The sequence below is a fragment of the Homo sapiens genome, chromosome X (genome assembly GCF_000001405.40).
Source record: "Homo sapiens chromosome X, GRCh38.p14 Primary Assembly".
NCBI lineage: Eukaryota > Metazoa > Chordata > Mammalia > Primates > Hominidae > Homo > Homo sapiens.
In genome coordinates, this window is record NC_000023.11 from 154159151 (window position 1) to 154181902 (window position 22752).

Genomic DNA, 22752 nt, shown 5'->3' on the forward strand with positions numbered 1-22752 from the left:
GTTTTCCCGAGCCTCATGTCTACCGATGGCGTGAAAGGATCCTGGCAAAACAGAAGTGTGAGGCAGGTGGGCGTCTATATCCATTTCACCAGGCTGGTGGTTACATAATCGGCAAGCAAGAGCTGTGGAGGGGCTTGCTGGATGCCCTCAGCACCCAGGAGGAGGGAGGGAGCTAGCAAGCTAAGGCAGGTGGCCCTCCTGGCCCCTTAAGGTCCATCTGCTGGAGGCCCAGAGTCCTTGGAGTACAGTCTACACCTGGAGGGGACCCATTCCTGCCAGTCTGTGGCAGGGATGGCGCGCCACCTCTGCCAGGCCAGGACCCCAAGCCCGATCAGCATCAGCATGGTGCAGGTGCACAGGCGTGAGCTGATCAGTGACGAGGGGCAGGCACACAAGGTGGAGACAAAGACCAAGAGGACGGTTGCCAGTGAGAGGCGCGGACTCAGGAACTTGAACAACATCTGCGGGGGACGGCTTTGGAGGTGCTCCGCTGCCTCCAGTTGGGTGACTTGCTGTAGCATCTCCAGCTTGGATATTCGGCTCTTGAAGGTCTCCGTGATCTCCTGCAGGAGACGAAAATGCACGCACCAGAAGTCAGCACAGAGTTGTGGTCGTTTATTGAGTTCTTAGGGGTGAGCAGAAAGCACTGTGGAGTGGGTATTCGAGGAGGGAAGCAGAGAGCCTAGAGCACATTCAGGGCAGAGGGGAGGGCGCAGGCTCTCCAGCAACAGGGAAAGCTTCATCTGACCCGGCTGCACTCCCCCATCCACTGTCTCCCGAAGCTGAGGACCTGGTCAAGACACAGCTACCCAGGGACGGGGGTGGGCGCTATGGGAATGGAAAAGTGAGGAGAGGGAAGCCAGGTCTAAGGAGGGGTTCTGAGAGGGCGCTCCCTACACCTGCAGCCGCAGCAGAAGCAGCTCCACCCCAGATCTCCCGAGTCAGAGGCTCACGGGTGAGCACTGCAGCACCAGAGTGGCAAAAGCAGCTAAGCCAGATGGTGGGAAGCGGAGCGTGAGTGTAAAGATCAGATGCTGCTAGCTCTGAAACAAATGTGTGTGGCCATCGAACCCTCAGGAGGGGGCAGCTCGAGGACCCGTGTCTTGCTTTGGTTTGGGGGTATCAGAATAGATTCGCTCATCCCTCCAGTCTTCTTGCAAGGCTCCCCCAGGAGGTTCTCACCCATATTTCCTTGGCTCTCTCATAGGATAGATAGGCCATTCTCTCTTCGCTGCAGGCCAGATTGTGTTTGAGGTTGTAAATCTCATTCAGCTGTCCCTGCAGGCGACCATTCACCTGTTCTTCCATCAATGCTTGCCTTGGGAGCAAAAGAGAAAGTGAGATTCCTTCAGTACCTCATCCAGAGCTCATGCCAACAGCGAGCGGTCCTGACCTAGACTAGATTCGGGTTCAGCTTCTGCCTTCCTCCCCGCTCCCCAGGCTCTAGGGAAAGCCTGCCTCCCACTCCAGGTCTGCCTGGGAACACCCCAAACACACACCAGCCACACGCACACCAATATTCATATATATTTTATATGTAGTTACTCTTTTGTAACAGCTTTACAAAAATAGCCACAGACTAGAAGTTGTAGAAATGACAGTGTGAACTATCTGTGTGTGCTCTTCAGTTCCGCAAATCCCCCAGGACCAGTGTTGAGCACGAAGTCTAGCCTGCAGTTTAGCCTGCAGTTACTCTATAGAAACATGGTGACTATAAGGATTGAAAAGCCACAAAAGACCACAGATTCCAGTACAATTCCATTAGTTACGAAATGTCCAGAATAGGCAAATCCATAGAGACAGAAAGCAGATTAGTGGGTGCCAGGGGCTGGGGGTGGGGGATGGGCAGTGGCTGCTAATGAGTACAGGGTTGCTTTGGGGCTGGTGAAAATATTGTAGGACCGGGCACGGTGGCTCACGCCTGTAATCCCAGCACTTTGGGAGGCCAAGGCGGGCGGATCATGAGGTCAGGAGATCGAGACCATCCTGGCTGACACGGTGAAACCCCGTCTGTACTAAAAATACAAAAAAAATTAGCCGGGCGTGGTGGCGGACGCCTGTAGTCCCAGCTACTCGGGAGGCGGAGGCAGGAGAATGGCGTGAACCCGGGAGGCGGAGCTTGCGGTGAGCAGAGTTCACACCACTGCACTCCAGCCTGGGCGACAGAGCGAGACTCCGTCTCAAAAAAAAAAAAAAGAGAATATTGTGGAATTAGATAGTGGTGATGGTTGAACAACTCTGTGACTATACGAAAAACCAGTGAATTGTACACTTTAAATTGGTGAATTTTATGGGATGTGAATTATATCTCAATAGAGCCGTTATTTAAACAAAAAGAGAAAAGTGAATCATGGCAATAGTTGCGCAACTCAGTAAATTTACTAAAAACCATTGAAATGTAGTTAAAATGGTGCATTTTATAATATGTAAATTATATCTCAATAGAGCTGTTAAAAAACCACAAGCAGGCCAGGCGCAGTGGTTCACAGTTGCAATCCCAGCGCTTTGGGAGGCCAAGGCAAGGGGATTGTTTGAGGCCAGGAGGAATTCAACACCAGCCTGGGCAACACAGTGAGACCCTGTCTCTACAAAAAAAATTTTTAATTATCTGGGTGTGGTGGCACGTGCCTGTAGTCTCAGCTACTCTGGAGGCTGAGGCAGGAGGACCTCTTGAGTCCGGGAGTTCGAGGCTGCAGTGAGCTGCCATCACGCCACTGCACTCCAGCCTGGGCAGCAGAGTGAGACCCTATCTCTAAAAGAAAACAATCACTACCTGTTGTGTATATAATTATATAAGTAGTAAAAGTATAAAACCATGCATGGAAAAGATAAGCACCCAAATGAGAATGGTGAGGCCAGTATAGCAAGGCCAGAATAGCAAGGAAGGGAGATGGTGCTGGAAAGGGGTAATGAGGGCTTCAACAGAATATTTTAAAGTTTTATTTCCTAAAAAAATAAGATTTGAAGTGAATATGGCAAATGTTAAGATTTCAGAAAGCTGGGGCTGTTAATTATGTTATCCTTACATTTTCCCTTTGCTTGAAATACTTCATAATTTAAAAACTTCTATGAAGTTCCCCTTTTGGCACCACAAAGAACGGGCCAGAAGGACAGAGGCCAGGGGGCCAGTGAGGGGGCTCTGGCACCACCGCTTACGTAGAAGAGAGAAGGCACCAGAGCGTGATGGAACCCATAGACTGGCAGGGCTGCCGCCCCAGGAGGCCCAGGAGGGTGGCGGCAGGCCTCAGGTGCAGGAGGTCTAAACGGTGGTGCTGACAGAGACGGGGAAAACAGTGACGACTTCTATTCGGTCCCACTCCAAGGACTTGACCAACACCCACACGGAGAAATCCCCCGGGCACTGAATAAGCTGACAGCTCATTTGTTGAAAGCCAATTTGTCAAAAGCTGGTTCCTCGCAGCATTTCAAGGAATATTCCATTTGTCTCTGCCCCAGGTCCCTGTTAAGAAGAGAGTCGGTGGACAACATGGACTAGGCCACTGCTCACAGAGAGGGGGAGTGGGTCGGCAGGATGGTCACCCCGAAAATAGATTCCTCATTACTGTCTTTCCATTTACATGAATGATCTAGCTGTGAGAACATTCAAGATTTTAACTGTCCTCAGGAATATGAAGTCAATCTTCATCAATGTATTGGTAAAGATACATGAAGATATTCTTCAGTGCATTCTTGAAGAGTCTCTTCAGATGTCAGTAAACAATATTTTCATAAGGATATTCTCTCAGTCTCCCCTTCTCTCTGGCCCCCATCTCCTGGCCCTCTGGCAGCCGCGCTCCCTTCTCTTCCTTGGTCAAGGACCCCCCTCTCTCCACCTCCTACAGTCACAGAAGCAAATGGACAACTCTGGAGAATGCTCTTATGAACACAAAACGATGACCAGTCAACCCAGACACCCTCAAGACAGACCGAAGGTGTTAAGACCACCCTCTCCAACACAAAGTGTTCTAAACTTTATTGTTTTTTTCAAAATAGTGTTGTTGTTTTTTTTTTTTGAGACGGATCTCCTTCTATTTGCCCAGGCTGGAGTGCAGTGGCACGATCTTGGCTTGCTGCAACCTCCGCCTCCCGGGTTCAAGTGATTTTCCTGCCTCGGCCTCCTGAGTAGCTGGGACTACAGGTATGCGCCATCATGCCGGGCTAATTTTTTGTATTTTTAGTAGAGACAGGGTTTCACCATGTTGGCCAGGCTGGTCTCCAACTCCTGACCTCAGGTGACCCGCCTGCCTCGGCCTCCCAAAGTGCTGGGATTACAGGTGTGAGCCATTGGGCCCAGCCAGAAAGAGTATATTCTTGGTCATTTCTGAGAATTTGCTTTTGGCAAATTGAGCTAGAGCCTAATCATGGCCCACAACTTGGAGGAAAAGTCTGAGACGGAGAAACAGCTGTAGGAGGGGTCAATAGCCCAGGTGCAATCGGTGCATGTGGCCAGGATGGATGAGCTCACTCTGAGCAAATGTGCCAAAGCAAGGGGCCCTGGGGAGCTGGGGGAAGAGCCAACAAAACAGAAGCGAAAGCAGGAGGAAATTCGCCAGGACGGCTCACACAGGAACCCAGAGGATGTAGGGATACAGTGGAAAGGTTGAACATACATGTAACTGGGGCCTTAGAAGGGGAAAAATGAGAGACTAGGGCAGAGTCACTATTTGAAAATATAATGGCTGAAAACGTCCAAAACTGACAAAAGACATCAAGCCATAAACCCAAGTAGCAATGCGAAGCCCAAGCAGGATGAATGCAAAGAAAATCACACCAAGGGGAGAGTCAGCGGCACAAAAAAGAAGAGAGAAAGAAAATCACGCCAAACATCATCATAGCAAAACCACTAAACAACAAAGAAAAACAAAAGATCTTAAAAGGAGCCTGAGGAAAACAAAACTGTGATCCGAGGAGCAACAAGAAGACTGGCAGCTGCCTTTTCAACAGAAACCATGGAAGTCAGAAGGGAATGATTTGTTCAAAATGCTTATTATTTCCAAAAATTAAGTGCCAACTTAGAATTCTATGTCCAGCAAAAAATATCCTTCAGGGCCGGGTGTGGTGGCTCACGCCTGTAATCCCAGCACTTTGGGAGGCCGAGGCAGGCAGATCACGAGGTCAGGAGTTCAAGACCAGCCTGGCCAACATGGTGAAACCCCGTCTCTACTAAAAATACAAAAACTAGCCGGGCGTGGTGGCACATGCCTGTAATCCCAGCTACTGAGGAGGCTGAGGCAGGGGAATCGCTTGAACCTGGGAGGCAGAGGTTGCAGCGAGCCGAGATCTCACCATTGCACTCCAACCTGGGTGACAGGGTGAGGCTCTGTCTCACAAAAAAAAAAAAAAGAATTCCTTCAGAAATAAAAAGGAATGATGGCATGTGTGAGGCAATAAGGTGACAGTGACTGCATATTTAACATTGTGGACTTGTTTTAAAACATTTTTGGTATGGTATTTAGGCTATGTTAACAAAATGATCCATATTTCAGGTTCACACTGAAATATTTACAGATGAACTGATATAATGTCTGTGCTTTGCTTCAACGCAATAGGGATGAGAGGAACCAGTTCAGAGAGCAGATCAGACCTTAGGTCAGACCTCCTCAGAGATCCCAAGATGCAGGATGCTGTGACATGGAGGAGAAGTCGGGGAAAAAATGGAAGTTAACACGACCCCAGCCTGCAACAAAGCCCTAAGCAGATACCTTGAGGAAAGTCAGCCCGAGGCTGGATCCCTGGGGCTGAGAGGTCACAGAGCAACACTGAAGCCTCTAGGAACCATAGCCTGTTATCTCCAAGCCTCGTCTGAAAGCGAAACATACCAGAACAGTCTTGGGACAGAGGAGCTAGGGTCTGGATGCCCCCAAGGACCTCGTGTCCAGGAGGGAAAGAAAAACATGGAGACCTGGCATATTCACTTCCGGGCGTTTTCAATATGACAGGAGGCTATAAGAAAATTTCACGACTGCCCACTTGTGGATACAGCCAGAAATACAAAGCAAGAGTGAAAGTTTTGCCTACTCGGCACCTGAGTAGCTTCTTTTTTATTCAATTTTTATTGAGGTAAATTTCATGTAACATAAAATGAATTATTTTAAGGTGAACAATTCAGCGGCATTTAGCACATGTGGTGTTGTGCAACCACCATGGCTATTAATAGTTCCAAGACATTGGCCGGCTGCAGTCATGCCTGTAATCCCAGCACTTTGGGAGGCCGAGGCGGGCGGATCACGAGGTCAGGAGATCGAGACCATCCTGGCCAACACGGTGAAACCCCGTCTCTACTAAAATATGCAAAAATTAGCTGGGCGTGGTGGTGCATGCCTGTAATCTCAGCTACTCAGGAGGCTGAGACAGGAGAATCACTTGAATCCGGGACGCAGAGGTTGCAGTGAGCTGAGATCAAGCCACTGCACTCCCTCCAGCCTGGGCAGCAGAGCAAGACACCACCTCAAAAAAAAAAAAAAGCCATTAACAACTTTCTTTCTTTCTTTCTTTCTTTCTTTCTTTCTTTCTCTTTTTCTTTCTCTCTCTCTCTCTCTCTCTCTCTCTCTCTCTCTCTCTCTCCCTCTCTCTCTCTCTCTCTCTCTCTCTCTCCTCTCTCTCTCTCTCCTCTCTCTCTCTCTCTCTTTCTGTTTTTTTTTTTGAGACAAGTTCTCACTCTGTCCTCTATCACCCAGGCTGGAGCACAGTGGCACAATCATAGTTCACTGCAACATAAAACTCTCGGGCTCAAGCGATCCTCCTGTCTCAGCCTCCCATGTAGCAGGGACTACAGGCATGTGCCACCAAGTCCGGTTAACACTTTTAAAATTTTTTGCAGAGATATGGTCTCACTTTGTTACCCAAGCTGGTCTCAGACTCCTGGGCTGAAGCAATCCTCCTGCCTCGACCTCCCAAAGCACTGGGATTACAGCCATAAGCCACCACATCTGGCCCCATTTTTCTTTACGATCTTTCAAGGACTTAGTTTGCACATAGGAAGCAGAAAGGAATTGTAAATTCAGTTCCATCAGCATCTACTTGGGGCTTACACACAAGTATTAATTAATTCTCACAACAGTTCCAACAATAGTGGGATCATTTTTACCTCCATGTTACAGATGTGGAAACTGAGGATTGCAAACTTGAAGCACCTCGTCCAAGGTCATTCAGTAAATACCTTGCAGAGAGGAGGCTGGGCCAGGCCTAAATCCAGAATCAGCCCTCCTGGCCCTGCCCTGATGTTCCCAAGACACAGCAGATAGAGTTCTGACATACATGGAGGAGGGAGGCAGCCCAGAGGGCGAGCTGGGTCCCTTCAGGAAGGGAGGAAAAGCAGCATCCAGACTGATCCATGAAACAGGTACTCACAGAACAGCCATCATGTGCCAACATGTCTTTGGGCAGTCACTCAGACACAGTGGCCGACCTGAATGTGCTGATATTTTGACGAGAACAATACAACACAAATGAATACCTACACAAGGGAGAGCAGTTTAGGCGGTGAGTGCTGCGAGAAAGGAAAAAGTAGGGGAGTGACAAAGACTGGTCCGGAGTATATAAAGAGCTCTGACAACTCAACAATAAAAAGACAATCCAAGTTGAAAACAAGCCAAAGACTTATTGGCTGATAAGCACATGAAAAGGGGTTCAGCATCATTAATCGTCAGAGGCAGGGTCACACACCCACTAGTCTCATGGGCTAGGATACTGGTTCTCAACCAGGGGCAATTTGCCGGCCCCCCCCTCCCCAAACAAGGGACATTTGGCAATCTCTGGACAGACATTTCTGGTTGTTACAAATAGGTGGGGCACGGTAGGCTAAAATTGCCCCCCTAGGCTGGGCACGGTGGCTCACATCTGTAACCCCAGCACTTTGTGAGGCTGTGGTGGGCAGATTACCTGGGCTCAGGAGTTCAAGAACACCCTGAGCAACAGGGTGAAACCCCGTCTCTATGAAAAATACAAAAAAATTAGCTGGGTGTGGTGGCACGCGCTTGTAGTCCCAGCTACTTGGGAGGCTGAGGCAGGAGAATTGCTTGAACCCAGGAGGCGGAGGTTGCAGTGAGCCAAGATCGTGCCACTGCACTCCAGCCTGGGTGACAGAGAGAGACTCTGTCTAAAAAAGAAAAAAACAAAAAGCCCCTCCGCAAAAGATATCTGTGTCATAATCCTTGGAAACTGTGAATGTTACCTTCTATGACCAAAAAAGGGGGCTTTCCAGAAGTGGTGAGTTTAAGGGTATTGAGATGCAAAGATTATCCTAGATTATCCTGGTGGCCCTAAATGCAATCACATGTATGAGAGAGAGGCAGAAGGACATTAGACACACACAGACGAGAATGTCATGTGAAGACAGAACACAGGTTTGAAGATGCTGGCCTTCAGGACAGGAATGATGTGGCCACAAAATTAAGGAATTTGGCAGCCACCAGAAACTGGAAGAGGCAAAGATCAGTTTGTCCCCTAGAGCCTCCAATGAGTGTGTGTCCTCCTCGCCTGATTTCAGCCCAGTGAAACGGATTTCGGCCTTCTAGCCTCCAGGACTGCGAGAGAATAACTTTCTATTATTTTAAGCCATGAAGTTGGGGGCAATTTGTCACGGCAGCATCAATTAATTCACGGCACCACTGGCATCAAGTAAGTGGAGACCAGGGATGCTGCTCATCATCCTAGAATGTACAGGACAGCCCCGCACAACAGAGAATCATTCGGTCCAAAATGTCGACAGTGCCAAGGTCGAGAGAACATGGGCTAGGGTGATGAAATTTTGGAGTCTAATTTCACCAAGTTGTGGCTGAACTTAAGAGGCTGACATTTAAAAGACTGATCTTGCCAAACGTTGGCAACTGGAACTCTTATACACTCCTAGCGGGACTGTAAAATGGTATAGCCATGTCGGAAAACAGTTCCTCTTTTTTTTTTTTTTGAGATGGAGTTTCACTCGTTGCCCAGGCTGGAGTGCAATGGCACGATCTCGGCTCACCGCAACCTCCGCCTCCTGAGTTCAAGCGATTCTCCTGCGTCAGCCTCCCGAGTAGCTGGGATTACAGGCATGTGCCACCACGCCGGGCTAATTTTGTATTTTTAGTAGAGACAGGGTTTACTCCATGTTGTTCAGGCTGGTCTCGAACTCCCGACCTCAGGTGATCCGCCTGCCTCAGCCTCCCAAAGTGCTGGGATTACAGGGGTGAGCCACCGCGCCCGGCCTTCCTCTTTCTTAAAAAGTTAAGCATACTGCTATGGGGTACATGTCCCCCCCAAAACTCGTGTTGAAATTTAATGGCCATGTGATGGTGTTAAGGGGTGGGACTGGTAAGAGGCGATTAATATTAATATTGTTATCATGAAAGTTTGGCCCCCGCTCGCTCTCTCACGCCCTCTTGCCCTTCTGCCTTCCGCCATAGGATGATGCCGTACAAAGGTCCTCACCAGCTGCCAGCGCCTTGACATTGAACTTCCTTTCTTTATAAACCACCCAGCCTGCGGTACTCTGTTACAGCAACAGAAAGTGGGACTAAGACACATAACACTTCCCTGTTATCTAGCAATTCCATATATGAAAGCATATGTTCACAGAAAGACTTGTGCGAGAACGTTCATAGCAGCTTTATTCAGTCGCCCCAACTGGCAGCGGACCAGGGCATAAGCAACCTGCGGCGTCTCCATGCAATGGAAGGCTGCCAAGCAATACGAAGCCATGAGCTACTCACTTCACACAGCTTGGGTGGATCTCAAAACAATTCCACGGAGCGAAAGCCGCCAGACACAAAGCACTGCGTGCCGTGCGATTCCACTTACGTGAAGTTCAAAAGGAGATGAAGCTAGAGTGACAGAAACCGGAACAGTGGCCAATTATGGGAGACGGGCATTCACTGGAAGAGGGTATGAGGGTACTTTCTGGGGTGGTGGCAAAGCTCTTTATTGGGATTTTAGCTGCCCAGGTGTAAACCTTTGTCAAAACTCGTTAAACTGTATGCCTAAACTTAAATGCAATTTCACTGCATAAAATTTACCTCAAAAAGGCCAGGCGCGGTGGCTCACTCCTGTAATCCCAGCACTTTGGGAGGCCGAGGCAGGTGGATCGCCTGAGGACAGGAGTTCGAGACCAGCCTGACCAACATGGAGAAACCCCATCTCTACTAAAATTACAAAATTAGCCAGGCGTGGTGGTGCCTGCCTGTAATCCCAGCTACTCGGGAGGCTGACGCAGGAGAATCGCTTGAACTCAGGAGGCGGAGGTTGCAGTGAGCCGAGATTGCGCCATTGCACTCCGGTCTGGGCAACAAGAGCAAAACTCCATCTAAAAAAAACAAAAAAACAAAAACTTTACTTCAAAAAACCCCGCTTCCAAAAGAATAAAAGAAGAGGCCATTTGAACGTGGTAGCCTGGGAAGTCCCTTTGAGGAGAGGACATCAGAGCAGAGCCTAAAGGACAAGCTGAGTGTGGGAGTTTCCTCTGGCTGCCATCACAAAGCGTTACAAACTTTGAGTGGCTTTCCCAGCAGAGATGGCCTCTCTCCTGGCTGGGGGTCCAGCAGTCCGAGAGGAAGGCCCAGGCTGGGCGGGCTCCTGCCGAGGACCGAGAAGGCGCCTCCACTCGGGGCCTCTGTCCCAGCTTCTGCTCTGCTGCCCACCTGCGGGCTTCCTTGGCTTCTGCCACGGCAGGTCGGCCTCAGCCTCTGTCTCCACACGGCGCTCTCCCTCTGGGTGTGTCCGTGTCTCCGTCTCCCCTTTCTGTCAGGACACAGGTCACACTGCATTAGGGCCCACCCCTCTGCAGAATGACCTCATCCAGATCTAACTCATCACGTCCGCAACGACCCTGTTTCCAAATAAGCCGGTTCCTTGTCACCAAGTGGAGCCTTCAATGAGTTGATGCCAAGGCAGGTCTAGGGAACTAGAAATGGGGCAAGAAGCAATGTCCTCCAGCCAGGTGTGGTGGCTCACACCTGTAACTCCAGCACTTTGGGAGGCCGAGGCGGGTGGATCGCTTCAGGTCAGGAGTTCGAGACCCCTGGTCAACATGGCGAAACCCCATCTCTACTGAAAAATACAAAAAGTAGCCAGGCATGCTGGCGTGTGCCTGTAATCCCAGCTACTCGGGAGGCTGAGGCAGGAGAATCGCTTGAACCCGGGAGGTGGAGGTTGCAGTGGGCCGAGATCGTGCCACTGCACTCCAGCCTGGGGGACAGAGTGAGACTCCATCTCATAAAAAAGACAAAAAAAAGAAGCAATGTGCTCCTCACAGTCGGGTTTTCTCCCAGGACCATTTTACTCATCCAACAAAGAACAAAGATGTCCCAGCAACCCATCTACCCCAGGCATTGACCACTCGGGCTACAAAGGTGAAGGAGGAGGGTGGGGCTGGGCAGGCTGGGACTGGCTATGGACCCCAGAGAGTAAAGATGGTTTTGCTGGCACCATACCCCCAACTCCAGGACTTGTCCATGCCCTGTCTACGGGGCCAAGACTGAAACCTGACTGCCTTTCACCATCAAGCAGAAGTCAGCTGCGCATCCTGTAAGAGATGGGGAAGGACCCCCAAGACCCTCCCAGAGCCCCCTGGCTCATTAGGAGGCTAGAGGGGGCCTCCTGCAACTCTGCATGCAAGGTGCCCAGATGAGACCTGGCCAGTCGAGACTTTTACTTGAAGGCTCCCCATGCCTTCCTGGGGTGCCATCTCTTCTACCAATGAACATTTTCTGAGTTTCTCAAGCCTTCTTTCCTCCTGACCCACGAAGAAACTGAGGGACCGGGGCCTTCTGGTCCCCCAGGAGACTGGCTTGTGCTGAGGAGGTAGGCCGCTCACTGTGCATCTTCTCGGAGATCTGAAGCTCCTCCTATTTCCACAAGAAAGAAAGGGAAGCTTGGCAAAGACCCTTCCATCCAGAATCATCAAGTTCGCGACGCCCGTGCTTCTCCTCAGCACACAGAGAGGAGAGTTACCAGGGGCCTCAAGCAACTCCAGCGGAAGCAGTCACAGTCCTTCCAGGACCCAGGAACGTCCTCTGCAAGGACCTACAAACCCAGACCTCATGAAGGAGGAGACCCCAGGGCCAGCCCCAAGCCTCCTGAGTCTAATTGTTGCTGTGATAGAGACCCTGCACGTCGCAGAATCAAAAAGAATATATTGTGGGTTTTTTTTTTTTTACCACAATCAATTAAAAAATGCATTAAAAAGTAAGAACTGTCCAGGCACAGTGGCTCACATCTGTAACCCCAGTACTTGGGGAGGCCGTGGCCAGGTGTTCAAGACCAGCCTGGGCAACATAGCAAGATCCCATCTCTACAAATAATAATAATTTTTAAAAAGTTAGCCAGGCATGGTGGCACATGCTTTGTACTCCCAGCTACTCGGGAGGCTGAGGCAGGAAGATCGCTTGAGCCCGGGAGTTCAAGGCTGTAGTGAACTATGACTGCATGCAGCCTGGGCAACAGAGACCCTGAAGAAAAAGAAAGAAAGAAAGAGAGATAGAGAGAGAGAGAGAGAGACAGAGAGAAAGGAAGAAAGAGAAAGAGAGAAAGAAAAAGAAAGAAAGAGAGAGAGAGATGGAAAGAAAGAGAGAAAAAGAAAAAGAAGAAAGAAAGAAAGAAAGAAAGAACTTTTGCCTATCCAAAGACTCAGGAAAAATAAAAAAGAAAGCCAGCCCTCATAATGAGATACCACTTCACAGTTACATCTGTTGGAAAAAAAAAAAAAGGATAACAACAAATGTTGGCAAGGATGTGAGGCAACTGGAAGCCTTCTGCATTGCTGGTGGGAAGATGGAGCTGCGCGGCTGCTGTGGGAAGACTCCTCTAAACGCTACACCTGGAGTCACCACGGGGTCCAGCAATTCTACTCCTGATTATAGACCCCAAAGAATTGAAAACTGGTGTTCAAACAACTGGCATGTATCTGAGTGTTCAGCGCAGGGCTTCTCACAATAGCCAAAAGGTGGAAACAACTCAAATCTCCATCCACTGATGGACAGATAAACAAAATGTGGTCTACCCATGCACTGGAATATTAGTCAGCCGTCAAGAGAATGAAGTACTGATACGTGCTACAACATTAGTGAACCTTGAAAACAGTGAAAGGAGCTAGACACAAAAGCCCACATATCGTATGGTCCCATTTATATGAAAAGTCCAGAAGAGGCAAACCCACGGAGACAGAAAGCAGATTAGGGAACGCCTGGAGCCGAGGCTAGGAGTGACCGTGTAGTGAGTCTGGAGGTCTCCTTCTGGGGTGATGAGAATGTTAGACAACCGGACAGAGGTGATGGTTGAACCACACTGCAGATGTACTTAATGCACTGAATTACATGCTTCCAAATGGTTAATTTCACATTACGTGAAATTATGTGAATTCTACATCAATTTTTTTAAGTAAGCCCTTGTCATAAATGCGTTTAATACAGTTGCTGCCTCAGCATCCAACTTTAGCAGTTGTACCCTGTCACCTTTGCCCTAGATAACACCCCTCCCTCCCTGTCATGTGATTGTTTGCGACATAGCCCACGTGGTCCTCGCCTCACTGACCCAAAACCCAACACATCCCACGGCTGCTGACCACGATAAGACCTAATGCTCAACACCAGAGTCATGTAAATCAGTTTCCTCCTCGTGCATGTTTTCTTTAAACCAGCCAATCCACAACCCCCGCAGGAAAGCCTGTGGGATCACTTCACACCCTGTGACCTTAATACAGGCACAGCCCCGGAAGCTTCCCCGCCCTTCCGTTCTGGGCTTCGCTGTTGCACAGCTGATGAGCTCAATCAGCTCCCTGCTGCCTCCAGACTTCCCCTCTGCCTCCCATCAGCACACCTAACATCTCTTCGATCTGAGTCATACATTTCTTTTTTTTTTTTTTTTTTTTTGACACAGGGTCTTGCTCTGTCACCCAGAATGGAGTGCAGTGGTGCAATCATGACTCACTGCAGCCTCAACCTCCCGGGCTCAAGGGATCCCCGCTCCCGCTCAGCCTCCTGAGTAGCTGTGACTACAGGCACGCGCCATCACGCCCAGCTAATTTTTTGATGTTTTTGTAGATACCGGGTCTCACTATGTTGCCCAGGCTGGTCTCAAACTCCTGAGCTCAAGCAGTCTGCCCACCTCAACCTCCCAAAGTGCTAGGATTACAGGCGTGAGCCCCCACGCCCAGCCCATTTCTGCTGTTTCATGCATTTTCGTCTGCCTCCTCACTGTGGCTCCCCTGACACACACATCCGAACCTAACTTTCCCACGGGTCAGGGATCTCCTAGAAACTGGGTATCTCGGCTATGGCCACTCTCAGTAGAGACATGCCGAGACCAAATTAAAAAGAAACCATAATGATAAAAACCACAACAGCCCTCCTGAAAGCAAACGGATTTAACTGTGATAAACAGCACAGGACTTGCAGTATGGATTCTCAGTTTGTGATGCACCAGAGGGGACGCAACAGTCACAGGGAGCCTGGCTGGTTGAAACACTTCTGTGTCCAGATCATGTAAAAGTTTTGAAGAAGATTTTACGGAAGTATATGTTTTTAAAATGCCATGAACTCCTGTGTCCCCTGCATCTAACTTAGCCACACAGCCAGGGTGTGGTGAAATGCTCTCAGGTCCGCACTTAGCAGCCACGTAGCCTGCTTGTGCCTCCGTGAGACTCTGCTTCCCCAACCATAAAGTAGGCGTCTGAGGGCCAAAGAACAAGGCTGCTTAACCTGGTGCCCCAGCTCAGTTACGAGCCCGTGACAACAGTGAAAAATCATCAGCAGCCCTTTCTCCTCCTGTAGACCTGCTTGGGCCCTGTAGACCTGCTTTTCTGCTCACGATGAACATTAGTAAGGGTAGGCTCGCTGCTGCAGCAAACAACCAGACATCCCATGTCACAGTCCAATGGGGGGTACCGGGTCAGAAGTGCAGGCTTCTAGAATTTGCAGCAAAAGTCTGAGAGGGGGAGAGACAGAGGTATTGCCCTGCTCCCCGGTAGTCACCGCTGTATCAAGAGCGGGCGAAAGACTCGGATTTGAGAGGGGTTAAGAGTTTACCTGAGCACAGCATTCTCATTGGCCCCTGTGGCTTGGAAACATACGGGGAAGTTTGTAACTGCCACCAAGTTCTGCTGTTGCTTAATAGAAAGCTGACCGGGTAAGTGTGATTTTCACAAAAGGGTCTTTGATGCTCCCAAGATTTTAGATTTGGTTGCCATGTCCTATGAAAATAATCTGCAAGAGACGCCTGTGACTCTGACTAGTCATCTCATTGACAGTGGTTGCCCTGTAATATTCTTTGATTGTCCTTTAACAGATTCTTAGGCCATGTAAACGCTGGCAAGATTTCCCTGGGGAAACTAAAGAGGATGATTCCCACACGCCGCTTCCCCTGCATCAGGCACTAAAAGGACTGCGGAGTTCTTCTTTTCATGCAAATGCTGAGAATCTTGGCTCACCTAAGGGAATCGCTGCCTCCCTAGCCAGGACGCTGGAGGGACTGGCGTTAATTAGCCACAGACTGCAGCGAGGGGGACAGAATGTGGCACCCCCTGAGGGCCCATGGAAACCCAGAGAACGGTCCCAATAGGAATGGAGAGAATCCGTTGAGAGATTGGGTTTGCCTTTTTTTTTTTTTTTTTTTTTTTCCTCCAATTGGTAGGCCCTAGCCTTATCTTAGAGGGAAAGAAAATCGAGCTAGGGCAGGGTGAGGTGGCTCACACCAGTAATCCCGGCACTCTGGGAGGCTGAGGCAGGCGGATCACGAGGTCAATAGATTGAGACCATCCTGGTCAACATGGTGAAACCCCGCCTGTACTAAAAATACAAAAAATAGCCGGATGTGCTGGTGCACGCCTGTATTCCCAGCTACTCGGGAGGCTGAGGCAGGAGAATCGCTTGAACCCGGGAGGTGGAGGTTGCAGTGGGCCGAGATCGTGCCACTGCACTCCAGTCTGGCGACAGAGTGAGACTCCATCTCAAAAGAAAAAAAAGAAAAAGAAAATCGAGCTACTGCACGGTGCGGAGAAAGCATTCACCAGAAGGCAGTCATTTTTGAAATAAGTATCTGAGACCCGGCCTGTGCCCCAGCTCAGCTAGGAGCACATGTGAAGAGACCAGAGCTGGCGAGGCGACTCCGGTCCTGACTCCCACCTTCCCAGCCGACTGGGACCAAAGGACGCCACCTCCCTAACTAGTGCCAGGTGTCTACCGGACTCTTGCCACCCCCATGTTGTCCCCTGCCACCACAGGGTCAGGGCCAGCCGCTATGCCGCTGCAACCACCCGGCAGGGGCTGCCAAGCTGGAGCATTTTCGCTAGCAAGGGTCAAGGCAGGTGTGGGACTGCAGGGAGAGGGCTGGCTCGCCCCACTGCAGGGCCCAGTCGCTAAAAGAAGCATGGACCTGCTCTTCCAACTGGCCCCTCACCCTGGCTCTCCAGGCTCCTGTCCTGGCTCCCTTTCACCCTCCCATAGGTGGCTCCTGGGAGCGGTTCCTCCTCTGCTTCCAGTCCCCAGAGCCAAGGCCTCACCTACACTTCTCCTCCTGAAGGGACTCCAGCAACAGCTGCAGGTCAGTCAGAGACCTCTCCTTTAGGCTGTGATAGGACTCCTGGAGGCTGATGTGGAACCTCTTGGCTTCTTCCAGCTCTGCCTTTACCTTCTGCAACAGCAGGTTTTGTTGCTGGGCCACATCCTCTGTCTCTAAGCACGTCCCCTGCTGTAAGCTCTGGAAGCGACTCTCCAAGATGAAGGGCCTGCTGGCATGAGGCAGGTTGACCGGCCCGTCTTCCCCACCTGGCTCGGGGGGCTCTGAAAGCAGGGCCTTCTCACTGGGTGGCTCGCAGTTGGCTGGGTCGCTTTCTGCCATCAGCAGTAAGCCCTCGGGCCTGCAGCCTTCCTCCAGCTCCTGGAGCTGCTGGTGACACTGGTGGAGCCTGTGCTCGATCTGGGCGATGGTGGCAGAGGCGCGCTGGTTCACCTTCTCAAAGGCCTGCTGGATGTGCGGCACCTGGTGCCGGTCTGCTTTGGATACCAGCTTGAGGTAGCTCACAGTGTTGCCATCCCGACTGGCCTTCTCCACTCTCAGCTGCTCTGAGAGGTAGAGGATGCGGTGCCTGACACTATCCTGTAAGTTGTGGGCTAGGCCTCCATCTGCGAGGCTGGAAGGGCCACTGGGGCCGTCTTCGCTGGATGACAGGGACCGGCATGAAGGCACATTGGAGGGGAGGGTTGCGCTGGGGCTCCTGGTGTGTTCCGCCTACGTTGGGAAACAAGAAATCACAATACGGTGCTCTGTGAGCCGCAAAGTGTGGGAGAATTGGACACGTTATGACTCCATAAAACACTTCCACATATGCATGGATACTTACACACGCAAGATTTGTGCATTCAAGATGGGCCCGACACAGACTGAGGAGGTGATGCTCATCTTCAGGGCCCCTCTCCCCTCCTTTTCAGCGTCTGACTCCTTGCTCTACATGTGTGCCTCACTAAGACCCACAGGTGGCCAGACTCCCTTCTACATCTGCCTGTTTTTGCACTGCACTCCTATTTTCTCTTCCAAAAATTACCAATTGTGGGTCTCATTTATAAAGAACTGTTCTTGTAAAGTATGGAATAAGCTTATTTCCGTCAACTCTTACAGCTTGCTGTATTGCTACTCCCAGGGAGACAGGAAGGGTTAGGCAGAGAGATTTGCCTCCTAACAGGTTCATTCATTCATCCAATCATTCATTCAACACATACTTTCTCTGAGTGCCTACCACGTGGTACAGAAGCCAGATACATTCCTTGATCTCATACAGCTGACAGTCTACGGCAGAAAATTCTACTGTAACACAAAAGAATGAGTCTCTCACATGGTGAGGGGATTAACATTGCCTTTGACGAAGAGCCCAGTTCAAATCCTGGCTCTACCACTCTGAGACCTTGAGCAAGTTAATAAACTGCTCTGAGGCTCAGTTTTCTTACCTCTAAAATAAAGATGGCAAGAGCAGCATAGCTGGAACCCAGCCCACCAGAGCAAGGAGCTAGGAGAGGGAGGTGGGGGGCAGCTCAGGTGCAGCCTCTGTTCCGTTTCTACTTTTTTGTTTTTTGAGACGGAGTCTCACTCTGTCACCCAGGCTGGAGTGCAGTGGTGCAATCTCGGCTCACTACAACCTTCGCCTCCCGGGTTTAAGCAATTCTCATGGCTCAGCCTCCCGAGTAGCTGGGATTACAGGTGTGCATCACCACACCCAGCTAATTCGTGTATTATTAGTAGAGACAGGGTTTCACCATGTTGACCAGGCTGGTTTCCAACTCCTGACCTCAAGTGATCCTCCCGCCTCGGCCTCCCAAAGAGTGCTGGGATTACCGGTGTGAGCCACTGCATCTGGCCTATACCTCAATTTTTAAAATGCAAAGTGATACCACTATGTACCCAGTAGATTGGTCAAACTCAGACAGACTAACAACAATAAGAGTTGGCAAGGATATAGCGCAACAGGAACTCTCAATCATTACTGGCGGGAAGCAAATTTGTACTACAGCCACCTTAGAAAACCACTTGACAGTATCACAAAGTTGAAGATATACCTACCAAATGATCCAGCAACTGCATTCATAGGCGATATTCCCAGGAGGCAAGTACACTGATGTTCTCAATATCCAACAACTAGCAACAAACCACCTGCCCAGAAAGTGTAAGTAAACTGTAATATATGCAACAACATACTACTGTACAGCAATGAGAATGAACTACAGCCTTGAAAAACATGAATGCATTTCACAAGCATAATGTTGAACAAAAGAAACCAGACAGAAAATCCATACTATATATGGTTCCATTTACATAAATTCCAAGAGCAGGCAAAACTAAACAATATTGTGTAGGGATGACTACACAGGCAGGAAAGCTAAAGAGCAGCATGGATGTTGGCAACAGAAACCCCAGGATGGTGGTTCCCACTAGAGCGGGAGAAGGGGATTATGACTGGGGTGACTGTGGAGGCTGGGGTGCCTGGCCTGAGTAGTGGTTAAATGTGTGTTCACCTTATCGTTACTTCTTAAAACATACATCAATGTTTTCTGCACCTTTATATACATATGCCAGATTTCACAGTTTTCAAACTATTTAAATGTTCAATATAGGCCAGGTGTGGTGGCTCATGCCTGTAATCCCAGCACTTTGGGAGGCCGAGGCGGGCGGAGGTCAGGAGGTCAAGACCAGTCTGGCCAACATGGTGAAACCCCGTCTATACAAAATACAAAAAAAAAAAAAAAAATGCCTGGCACAGTGGTTCACACCTGTACTTCCAGCACTTTGGGAGGCCGAGGCGGGCGGATCACCTGAGGTCGGGAGTTCAAGACCAGCCTGACCAACACAGAGAAACCCCATCTCTACTAGAAATACAAAATTAGCCAGGCGTGGTGGCACACGCCTGTAGTCCCAGCTACTCGGGAGGCTGAGGCAGGAGAACCGCTTGAACCCGGGGTGCAGAAGTTGCAGTGAGCTGAGATCGTGCCACTGCACTCCAGCCTGGGTGGTAGAGTGAGACTCCGTCTCAAAAAATAAATAAATAATAAATAATAATATGTTCAATTGATGGATTTAATGGCAGATTTGATATGGCTGGAGAGACTGTTGGTAAATTGTACAGAGGAGCTAAAGAAAGTATCCAGGCCGGGCGCGGTGGCTCACACGCCTGTAATCCCAGCATTTTGGGAGGCCAAGGCGGGTGGATCACCTGACGTCAGGAGTTTGAGGCTAACCTGACCAACATGGTGAAACCCTGTCTCTACTAAAAAATACAAAAAATTAACTGGGCATGGTGGTGGGCACCTGTAATCCCAGCTACTTGGGAGGCTGAGGCAGGAGAATGGCTTGAACCCAGGAGGCAGAGGTTGCAGTGAGCCGAGATCACGCCACTGCACTCCAACCTGGGCAACAAGAGCAAAACTCCATCCCAAGAAAGAAAGAGAGAGAGAGAGAGAGAGAGAGAGAGAGAAAGAGAAAAGAAAGAAAGAAAAAAAAGTATCCAGAATGCAGCACAGAGGCACAAAAAAATAGAAAACTTGAAAAATAGAAGACATGGAAGGTAGCATGAGTAGGTCTAACAAAAATCCAATTGTCACACCAGAGAGAGAAGACAGACAGAATGAAGCAGCAGCAATATATACATATTTTTCTTCTTTTTTTTTTAAATTGAAATGGAGTCACACTCTGTTGCCTAGGCGGAGTGCCGTGGCACAATCTCGGCTCACGGCCGACCTCTGCTGCCCGGGTTCAAGCACTTCTCGTGCCTCAGCCTCCCGAGTAGCTGGGACTACAGGCGCGTGCCATCACAGCTAGCTAATTCTTTTGTATTTTTAGTAGAGATGGGGTTTCATCATGTTGGCAAGACTGTTCTCGAACTCTCAACATCAGGTGACCCACCCACCTCGGCCTCCCAAAGTGCTGGGATTACAGGCATGAGCCACTACGACCGGCCACAGCAGCAACATTTTAAGAGATAACTCCCTAAGAACTTTCCAGAACTGAAGAAAGACACAAATTCACAAATTCAAGAAGCCCAATAAATCCTAAGCAGGGAAGACAGAAATAGGTCCACACCTAGACACGAGATTTTTTTTTTTTTTTTTTTTTTGAAACAGTGTTTCGCTCTTGTCGCCCAGGCTGGAGTACAGTGGCGTGATCTCGGCTCACTGCAACCTCTGCCTCCCGGGTTCAAGCGATTCTCCTGCGTCAGCCTCCCAAGTAGCTGGTACTACAGGCGCCCGCCACCATGCCCAGCTAATTTTTGTATTTTTAGTAGAGACAGTGTTTCACCATGTTGGCCAGGCTGGTCTGGAACTCCTGACCTCAAATGATCCGCCCACCTCGGCCTCCCAAAGTGCTGGGATTACAAGCATGAGCCACCGCCCGCGGCCGACACAAGATGTTAAAAGCAGCCAGAGGAAAAAAAGCTGATTACCTTTAAAACCATGACTTTTAGACTGCAGGCTGCCTTCTCAATAGCATCAATGCAATCCAGAAGATAGTTGACTGATATCTTCGATACACTGAGAGAATAACTGTCAGAGAGAAAAAAATAGGTCACATTCAAAGAATCAGAAGTCAGAATGGCTTCAGACTTCAGCAACAGCATGGGGAACTAGAAGACAATGAAGTGCTGGCCGGGCACGGTGGCTCACACCTGTAATCTCAGCACTCTGGGAAGCCCAGGCAGGCGGATCACTTGAAGTCAAGAGTTTGAGACCAGGCTGGCCAACATGAGGAAACTCTGTCTCTACTAAAAATACAAAAATTAGCCAGCATTGTGGTGGGCGCCTGTAATCCCAGCTACTCGGGAGGCTGAGGCAAGAGAATCGCTTGAACCCAAGAGGTTGCAGTGAGCCGAGGATCACTCCCCTGTACTCCAGCCTGGGCGACAGAGCAAGACTCTGTCCCAAAAAAAAAAAAAAAAAAAAAAAAAAAAGACAATGAAGTGCTGCTTTCGAAATTCTGAGGGAAAAATGATTTCCCAGCCTAAAATTCTACACCCCAACTGTCAACTGTGGGGTTAGACTAAAGACATTTTTAGACATGAAGGAGTTCAGTACACCACTGACAAATGTAAGAATTCAACAACTGTTTAAAAAGCAAGTCTTGCCAGGGCAGTGGTGTGCACCTGTGGTCCCAGCTACTCAGGATGCTGAGGCAGGAGGATTACTTGTGCCCAGCAAGTAGAGGCTGCAGTGACCTGTGACTGTGCTACTGCCCTCCAACCTGGGTGACAGAGTGAGACCTTGTCTCAAAAAAAAAAGAGCGGGGGGGGGGGGCCGGGCCGGGCGTGGTGGCTCACAGCTGTAATCCCAGCACTTTGGGAAGCCAAGGCGGGTGGATCACTTGAGGTCAGGAGTTTGAGACCATCATGGTCAACACTGCGAAACACTGTCCCTACTAAAAATACAAAAATTAGCCGGGCATGGTGGCACACACCTGTAATCCCAGCTACTGGGGAGGCTGAGGCAGGAGAATTGCTTGAGCCGGGGAGACGGAGGTTGCAGTGAGCCGAGACTGCGCCACTGCACTCCAGCCTGACTGACAAGAGTGAGATTGTCTCAAAAAAAAAAAAAAAGTAATCACTAGAAAAGAAGCTACATATGTACATAACATCCAAATAACCAAGAGGAGAAAAAAATGGGACTTGATTAATCAAAACAAAAACAAAAAAGAAAGAAAGAAAGGGGGAGAAAATAAAACAAGGGCTGGGTGTGCTGGCTCATGCCTGTAATCCCAGCACTTTGGAAGCCAAGGTGGGTGGATCTCTTGAGCTCAGGAGGTCAAGACCAGCCTGGGCAACATGGCGAAACCCCGTCTCTATTAAAAAAAAAATTAATACAACAATTATCCTGGAGTGGTGGTGCACACCTGTAGTCCCAGCTACCCAGGACGCTGAGACGGGAGGATCGCTTGATCCCGGGGATGTCGAGGCTGCCGTGATCGCACCACTGCCCTCCAGCCAGGGTGGCAGACTGAGACCCCATCTCAAAAAATAAATAAATAAAAGCAAACAAGAAAAAAAAAGGCTTGAAACATATCTGATAGATAAAGGGCTAATCAACACAATATATAAAGAACTGCAAATCAGTAAACTAAGAGCAAATAACCCAATATAAAGACATTAAAGGGTAGCCACGGACATCTCAGACGACGAAAAACAAAAGACAGTAAACGTATAATAAAACATGTAATTGCAAGGTGATCCGGGAATAGTAAGCGAAAAGCAACAATTAAATACTATTTTCTCATCCACCAGAACGCCAAAAATTAAAAAGCCTAACAATG

General features: G+C 49.4%; 1 pseudogene; it reads right to left on the minus strand.

Annotated features, from left to right (window-relative positions):
- On the minus strand, nucleotides 57-21005 carry TEX28P2 (TEX28 pseudogene 2; annotated as a pseudogene).